Raw genomic sequence first — 9,274 nt, 5'->3', positions numbered from 1 at the left:
TTTCCAGGCATATTATTTAACTTCCTTTGTTTTCCATATCCTAACGTGATAAGGAAGTAGCAAAGAAAAAACAACCTCAGCTTTTATAATGACTTCCCCTTTGGAAAACTATGAACTCAATTTTACAGTATTGTCATTTCCAAATAGCAGATCTGTTTTCACCTCATGAGCAGTTCTGAGATTATATATAAGAGGACCCAGGAGTTACATCAGGACTCAGGAAGAGATAGACCCATAATGATGCTGCCTCAAAACTCGTGGCATATTGGTAAGGTTTTGCTTTTATTTTGCTCTGCCATTTGGGAGATGGTGGGTATACTAAGAATATGTGTAACAACAAACAGATATAAATATTATGTAGTAAGGTAAAAAGAAAACAGGACATGAGAAATATAAAAAAATTGAAAGTTTTGTGGAACTTAGAGTAGCAGCAATATTGGAGGCAAAACTGAAATCCAAGAAAGGAGGAAAACATTAATAAAGTAAACAGAAAATGTATTATAAAGACTGGAGATTAGAAGTCACACAAGGATATGAAGTTGTGGAAATAGAAAGAAGGGATAAATTAGAAACTTATTGTTATCAAGTGCCAGGTACTACAGTAAATGCTTTAGGTCATCTCAATTTAATTCACACATGTAACCTATTTTATAGATATTATTGTCTCCATTGGTAGATGGAAAATGAAGACTTATAAGGACTAACTGACTTATGTAAGGTCATGTAGTAGAATCTCAAGTGTAATTTAAATTCAGGACCAGCTAAGTCTGAGCCCTTGATCTTTCTGCTATAAATTTTAATAAAGCAAATAAATAAGAAGACATTATGATAAAAAACAAAGAACAAGTCTTTGATGGACCCTAAAGAGTAAGGACTAAGAAAGGAATACATGGCTAAGAAGTCTTTCACAGCACATCTGAAATTAGTAGTAACCTTTGCACTTGCACTTCATAGACATTTCGTGGAAATAAAGAATCACGAAGGGAGGTTTTTGCTGTATTTGGGACTTATAACTCCTAAATAGGATTGAGGCTTTTGAAAATGCAGTGCTACTCCTGTTGGCATTGTGTCTCTGTGCCATTCCTCAGTGCAATTACTACAAGTCAACTTAATATTTTGTAACTGTTTTGCTTATGACTAAAGACCAGCACATTTCTAGAAAACCAGCAGAAGTTCTGATATTTTTCAAAGCCTCCTTTTTGAAAAAGGGTTTCTACAGTTTGAGAAGCTTGGCTGCCTTCTATCTAGCAAGGCTCATCTTAATGAATTACAGTTCTTCATAATTCATGTGTGTTACTTAAAAGATAATATTATTTAACTTTCAACATGCTGTCTGCCATGTATCTAATTAGAAAAGGAATGGGAAAGATGAAGGTCTTGAATTGGTGAGATGGTATTAGATATATAGAAGGTCACAAGTTCTGGCAATTATACTTTAATTCTCCTTCTCAAGAATTTCCTACTGCACTATTTGTTCACGTTCATCAGATCTTGATTGTGCTGGTGTCAGAGCTTACTATTCTTTTTTCTTTATAGTTCATCTTTAGCTCTAACCATTCTTACAAATGGGCACTCAGAGTTTCCTGGAAGGATTTAGGAAGATGAAATGGCCTCCTAGGATAATCCTACACATGAGGTTTGATGGAACTAAATATTCTTATTAGGAACAAAAGAAATAAGAGAAAAAAGAAGACCAACTTAAAGTGTTTTGGACAAGATGGAAAAGAAGGAAATTGGGACACTAATTGCCCATTCCACACTTATTTCTCCCTGTTTCGTTCTATAGGGAGGGTTTTCTCTTGATTTGGGTACATTTTCCAAGAATGATGGATGTGACTGATGATAATTGTAATAATAAAGTCTCCTCTATGGTTATTACTGACTGTTGCCAAACTCACTTGGGATTACTTCTTAGAGAAGTGCCCGGGATCCATTTTAGTTTCAAAGCATCATTTGAAAAACTAAAGATGTCCACCAAAGCAGGTTGCGCCTTCTGTCTCTGCTTTTGCGTAGCCCAAGCAGCATGGGCCTTTCCCCGATGGGTACTGTTCCTTCTGTCCTCTTAGGGTTTTTGTTTTTTGTTGTCTGGGATTACACATGCTCAGTTTAACTCTGACTTCATCTTTTCCATAAGATACTAATGAAAATACTATTTAAGATAGTTCTCTAACAGTTACAGCTGTTACATACCCCTCAAGTAAACAGGATGATAAATATTATTTTAAAGTATTTCTTATACATTTATTTACCCCTATGAATTAATCATCCCATCTGCTTTTAAAATAATCTTTCTATAATGTAAATTTTATTTATTACACTGATTCAATTCTTTATAGTCTCCAAATAACTCTCAGAATAAATTCTCAACTCCTTCGCTTGTGTATTGCTCCTGCCTATCTTAGTTCATTCTTTCCCCACACGTGTAGCATAAACTTTATTAGATGCAGAACTGAGCATGACTGAAAAGACAGGGAGAAGTGAGGAAGTGGCAAGATTCTGTAGGAATAATAGAATAGTGACCCTGAAGAAAAGTGGATAGCTTTGGTAAATAATCATGAGCTCAATCAGCAGTTATTATAGTGACCTCCAAATGTTGATTTGCTTGTACATTCCAGTCACAAGCCACTGAGTGGAATACAGGCAAGAACACTTATTCATTCCTCTATTCCCATAATGAAGCACAAGATCGGGTACATATGTCATACTCAATAAAGGAGCAAATGAATGAACAAAGTAGGGGGATAACGTTAGGAGGAAAAACAGTAAAAATGAGGAGAGGGTCAAAGAGTTGAGAAGTAAAAATTACTCAGTAACCCAAAATGCTAATCAATTACCCCAAACAGCCACAAAATATATTTGGACACAGAATGCAATTTTTCAATGAATCACATGCTAAAATATCTGCCCTGTTACAAACCACTTGGTGCCTTTCCATCACAAACAGGAGCTAGTCCTGTGGCTTTTCCTGGGAAAAGGACTTTCTTGTGCGGTATCCTTGACAGGTGGAAGAATAATTCATCTTACTCCTTCTATTTTATTTTGGATTTAAGTCATTGAGGTCATCTAACATTTCTTAGAAAGACATGAAATTCTACCCTGCTATATTTTGTTTCTCCAGATTTTGGAAGATGCTGCTGTCATCAGAACCTTTTCTCTGCTGTGGTAACTTGCATCCTGCTCCTGAATTCCTGCTTTCTCATCAGCAGTTTTAGTGAGTTCTGATGGATGATAACTTTTGGGCTTACAATCCTCTATTCTACCTTTCCCCTACTCACTACCCTAAGTGCATATTTTGAGGGAAATAGAACATGTAAAAATAATGTTGGACCTTCAATAGCTATACCCTGTAAATAAAGGTGTCCAAATTATTTTTATGCATTTCATATTACATTTTTCGTTGACATTTTTCTCCTTCAGATAAAGAGAATTTCCAAATCCGGCCGGGCACAGTGGCTCAGGCCTGTAATCTCAGCACTTTGGGAGGCCAAGGTGGGGAGATCACCTGAGGTCAGGAGTTCGAGACCAGCCTGGCCAACACAGTGAAACCACATCTCTATTAAAAATACAAAAATTAGCCGGGTGTGGTGGTGTGCACCTGTAACCCCAGCTACTTGGGGGGCTGAAGTGGAAGAATTGCTTGAACCCAGGAAGTGGAGGTTGTAGTGAGCCGAGATCGTGCCCCTACACTCCAGCCTGGGCGACAGAGCAAGACTCCATCTCAAAAAAAAAAAAAAAGAAAAAAGATAAAGATAGTTTCCAAACGTAAAATGTCTCACTGAAAAAATATGGATATTGTATTTTTGCAAATAGAAAAATCGGTTAATAAAAACTTACAAGATACAGAAATCAAAGAATTAAATACAATTAAAAATATATATGTGTTACACACCATGGAATACTATGCAGCCATAAAAAGATGAATTCAAGGGCCGGGCTGGGCGCGGGAGCTGGCCGGGCTGGGCGCGCCGCGGTCCCGCACCCACTTCCGCTTCCCGTGCGGCGGTGGGGGGATGGCGGCAGGGCCGGTGGGCGGCGGCGGCTCCAGGTCCCTGCCCGGGCGCGGCACTGCGCAGTCCGCCCTCCCCGTCGCAGGGGCGCTCCTGAGCTTCGCGGGGCCGCCTCCAGGGCTGCCTGCGCGGAGGGCCGGCCGCGGCCGACGCGAGTGTTAAGTGTCCGCCCTGGCCGGCTACCCGGAGCCAAGAGCAGGCGGCGGAGCCTGAGCGGGACGTGGCCACGCTGGCGCGGCGGGTCCAAGCCCGCCATTGGTCGGCTTCCGTTACGCCGCTGATGTGGAGTAGGGCGGAGCGCGGAACGCGAGGAGCTGCTGGGGTGTGTGTCGCAGCGGGTTTTCCTCGGCGGTTTGCGGAGCTGCTAGGATGGAGCAGGCTGCGGAGGGAGCGAGTGTGACCGCAGCCCCTGTGTCAGCTGCCGACAGCACTGAGGAGTTGGCCGAAGTCGAAGAAGGAGTTGGAGTAGTGGGCGGGGATAATGACGCAGCCGCGAGAGGAGCGGAGGCCTTTGGCGACAGTGAGGAGGACGGAGAGGATGTGTTCGAGGTGGAGAAGATCCTGGACATAAAGATCGAGGGGGGTGAAATTCTTTACAAAGTTCGCTGGAAAGGCTATACATCGGATGACGATACCTGGGAGCCCGAGACTCACCTGGAGGACTGTAAAGAAGTGCTTCTTGAATTTAGGAAGAAAATTGCAGAGAACAAAGCCAAAGCAGTCAGGAAGGATATTCAGAGACTATCCTTAAATAACGACATATTTGAGGCGAACTCTGATAGCGGTCAGCAAAGTAAGACAAAAGAAGATACTTCCCCAAAGAAGAAAAAGAAAAAATTAAGGCAGAGAGAGGAGAAAAGCCCAGATGATCTGAAAAAGAAAAAAGCAAAGGCCGGGAAGCTAAAAGACAAGTCCAAACCAGACCTGGAGAGCTCCTTGGAAAGTTTAGTTTGATTTAAGGACAAAGAAAAGAATTTCTGAAGCCAAAGAAGAACTAAAGGAGTCCAAAAAGCCCAAAAAAGATGAAGTAAAAGAAACAAAGGAATTAAAGTTAAAAAGGGTGAAATAAGAGATTTAAAGACGAAAACAAGAGAAGATCCCAAAGAAAATAGAAAAACAAAAAAAGAAAATTTGTCGAATCCCAGGTGGAATCTGAATCAAGTGTACTTAATGATTCCCCCTTTCCGGAGGATGACAATGAAGGGCTACATTCCGACAGCAGAGAAGAGAAACAAAACACTAAAAGTGCAAGAGAGAGAGCAGGGCAGGACACAGGGCTGGAGCATGGCTTTGAGAAGCCCCTAGACAGTGCCATGAGTGCTGAGGAGGATACCGATGTCAGAGGCAGGAGGAAAAAGAAGACCCCGAGAAAGGTTGAGGACACTAGAGAGAGCAGGAAGCTAGAGAACAAGAACGCATTCTTAGAGAAGAAAACTGTGCCTAAAAAGCAGAGGAATCAAGACAGAGGCAAAAGTGCTGCAGAGTTAGAGAAGCTTATGCCTATATCTGTCCAAACGCCAAAGGGCTGGAGGTTGAGCGGGGAAGAGAGAGGCCTCTGGTCCATGGACTCAGCCGAGGAGGTAAGGGCCACGGGAGGCAGCAGAAAACCCGTGTTGAGTGGCCAAGACATTTCACAAGCAAGGAAAGGGAAACAGTCAAGCTATGAGAAAGTGTTTATGACCATGGGCGGTCATAAATGAAGATCCTCCAGCTCTTGGACACTGCAGCTTATCTCTTAGTCTCTGGTTTGTTTCTCTTAGAATGATTTTGACTAGAAAATTATAGGCTAATTTGTGAGCAAAAATCAGGATGGTTTTTAGAGGTACTCAGATGATATATGGAGCATTGTATACTCAGGTTTATAGCTTCATCAGCTTATTTTATTAGCTTTTCACATCCTGCTTGGTCATTTCCCCTGTTGTCTTGAGTATACCACTATTAAATAATAGGACACAAACTACATTAACCAGTATTTTAATGCTTATAAAAATGTATTTAATAGAGAATTTGTCCCATTATAAAAATTATTTTTATATGGCTTTGCAAAATGGATATATTTTCCAAATTATGAGAGTATTTATATATGCAATATTTATCAAGGGCTATAAAAAACATCATTTTTTTCATCCATTATTTCCAGTTTTGGGAATTTATTTTAAGGAAATCATTTTAAAGAAGGAAAAGCTGTGCATACATAGTTATTTATGGCAGTATTATCTTCATTAGTGCTACAGCAAAATAGAACAACTTAGAAAATGCAGTGGAGAAGAAAAACCCTACATAAATGTGAACACAGTCATGTAAAAATATGTGTGTAATGTAAGCAAAAATGAATTTTAAAAAAGATTATGCATGTAAAAGTACAAGGACCAGAAGGGGGAACATGGAGAAGTAAAATAGTCATGATTGGTTAAGACTATGGGTGGAAAACTTTCTTAGAATTTTCTTTTTTTTTTTTTATAATAATAAAATTCCTAAAAGAGGGTTGGAAAACTGGTGTTGGGTTTTGAATTTGATATTTTGTGAATTATTATATGGTTGACTGAGGAAGCAAAATTCTTTTGTGTGAAGAGGATTTAATGATCATTGATCATGTACCACAGTATACAAGGGTGATTCCCTGAAGCCACAAACCTGTATTTTCCGGTTTTCAAATAAATATACAGTGTCAAAAAAAAAAAAAAAAAGGATGAGTTCATGCCCTTTGTAGGGACATGGATGAAGCTGGAAACCATCATTCTGAGCAGACTATCACAAGGGCAGAAAACCAAACACCGCATGTTCTCACTCGTAGGTGGGAATTGAACAATGAGATCACTTGGACACAGGGTGGGGAACATCACACATCAGGGCCTGTCATGGGGTGGGGGGAGCAGGGAGGGATAGCATTAGGAGAAATACCTAATGTAAATGATAAGTTAATGGGTGCAGCACACCAACACGGCACATGTATACATATGTAACAAACTTGCACGTTGTGCACATGTACCCTAGAACTTAATAAATATAAAAGTATATTAATAAAAATAAAAATAAAAATAATATTCATTAATAAAATAAAAGTAATACTATTAAAATAAAAAGTAATACTTTTAAATACTATTTAAATACTATTTAAAAGTAAATACTTTTAAATACTATTAAAATAAAAAAGTAATACTATTAAAATAAAAATAAAAGTAATACTATTAATAAAAATAAAAGTATAATAAAAATAATAAATAAAATAAATAAAAATATATATTTGTTAATATATTAACATCCAGAGAAAAACACTATTGTTTAAAATACCAATTTGTGGCATTTTTTATAATAATGTTTCAAGAAAATTATTTCATTATATTTTATATATTGGTTATTACCTATATAGTTCTTTAACATTTTTATTTTATCACATATCACTTATGATACCTTGTTTTATTGGCTGTGTAGTTTTCTGTCATTTGGATATACCCAAATAGATTTTAATAAGACCTTATGAGTGATTATTGAAGTTATTTAATTGCTTTGTATTTCAGTAATTTTTCAAATATATTACATTTCATAGATCTGACACAGAAATTGTCATTTTTAAGGTTTTTCATTATTTTCTATATTTTTCATTAGTGCCAAATTTGTAGTTTAAATAAAATTTTATTGTTATTAAAGTGGATTCTTTTTTTTAAAGAGACGGAGTTTCACTCTGTCAGCCAGGTTGGAGTGCAGCTACAGATGTGTGCCACTATACCCAGCTAATTAAAAAAAATTTTTTACAGGTAGGGTCTCACTATGTTGTCCAGGCCGATCTGGAACTCCTGGCCTCAAGCAGTCCTCCCACCTCTGCCTTTCAAAGTGTTGAAATTACAGACATGAGCCATGGCATCTGGGCTAAATTAACATTTTAAATGCTGTTGAGATTTAATCATGGTATTGAAATGATTATTTTAATTGAATGCTTTATTTGTGCAATTTTCTTATTTCTGTTTAATCATAGATAATATTACTATATCTTTGTGTACTCCAAAATAGTATTGGTTCTTGTCCAGTTACAAATATTTTTGATTAATGTATTTGCTTTTTAAAATGCTTTAAATTTCTCGCTGTTTAATGTTATATTTGATTAGACAAAAATGGCCATTTTATAACATATATACAAATCATTAAGCATAATGTAATGGCACACATAAATCCATCCCTCAACCAGGAAACTGGATTTTTATCAACCATTTTTTTCTACGTATGTTTTCCTCTTCTCTTCCACCTACCTTCCAACCCCACCAGAGATAATGTCTATCCTGAATTGTGCATTTCTCACTACCTTACTTTTTAATAATACAATACTTTCTAATAATATGATAGATATAGATGCAGAAATAATGTATTGTTTAGTTTTGCTTATTTTAAGCTTTATAACATATCAAACTGCATTTAGTGTTCTGGGACTTGCTTTTATCTTTCAATATTATATTTCTAAGCTTCATCTCTGCTGTTGCAATGGCTATAATTATTTAAGTTTTCGTTAAGTAAAATATATTATCTTGTATAAATAAATATTCCCAGTGAATTTGTCTATTATCCTGTCAATAGTTATTTGGATTTTTCATTACTATTGTCAAATGTTCTGCTATAAATATGTCTCTGGTGCAGATTCATGGGAGTTTACTACGGTCTATAGGTAGGAGTAGAATTAGCAGGTTCTGGGATGTGCATGTTTTCAACTTTACCAGATAGGATGAATTCTGCTAGCAATGTATATATATTTTCAAATATATGTATGAGGATATGACTCATATCCTCACTCATATTTTAAATATTCAGAGTTCTAAATTTTTGCCAATCAAGAGAGTATAAAGCTATATCTTTTTATCTTAATTTTCAGTTTCCTAAAGACTAATAAGTTTAGGCATTTCTCCATGTATTTAATGGTCATGCCTTTTGTTTTCTTCTGTGAAATATCTGTTCAACTCATTTGCCCATTTTGCTTATTTTTCTAAATATATATATTTAAAAAATATAATCTAGATACTAGTCCATAGTCATAATATATGTTGCTAATATATTCTTCACATTTGTGACTTTTCACTTTTTATAGAGTGTATTTTGAAGAATAGAAGTTCTTAATTTATCAAGTTTTCTTTAATTTTATCACACCTTGGTAGAAATTTGGTATGTCTAAAAATTAGTAGAAATTCTAATGTACACGTTGAAAAAAACACCTTAATCAGTATATTGAAAAAATAGAAATGGCAAATATCAATCATATTAGAATATATCTCTGTGTGTGTGTG

General features: G+C 36.8%; 1 protein-coding gene and 1 pseudogene across 7 annotated transcripts in view; both read left to right on the top strand.

The window, feature by feature from the left end:
• Positions 1–211: 211 nt before the first annotated feature.
• CD163L1 (CD163 molecule like 1) overlaps positions 212–9,274 on the top strand; it is a 125,386-nt gene continuing 116,323 nt past the window's right edge. For 6 of the 7 annotated variants that reach the window (XR_931282.3, XR_007063068.1, XR_007063067.1 and 3 more), the window contains exons 1-2: positions 212–268; positions 3,119–3,211. Coding sequence is in view for 4 of the 7 variants with exons in the window: in XM_011520616.2 (XP_011518918.1) it covers positions 238–268; positions 3,119–3,211 (124 nt within the window). In the remaining 3 variants the exon portion in view is untranslated. Of the gene's footprint in view, positions 269–3,118; positions 3,212–5,593; positions 5,753–9,274 lie in introns of those variants that run through there. The other variant, XM_011520617.3, reaches the window with a different exon arrangement.
• On the top strand, positions 4,287–5,588 carry LOC100419928 (M-phase phosphoprotein 8 pseudogene; annotated as a pseudogene).

This window comes from Homo sapiens, chromosome 12, assembly GCF_000001405.40.
Source record: "Homo sapiens chromosome 12, GRCh38.p14 Primary Assembly".
NCBI lineage: Eukaryota > Metazoa > Chordata > Mammalia > Primates > Hominidae > Homo > Homo sapiens.
The sequence above is the reverse complement of the archived record's forward strand: the minus strand, read 5'-3'. Positions and strand labels throughout refer to the sequence as shown.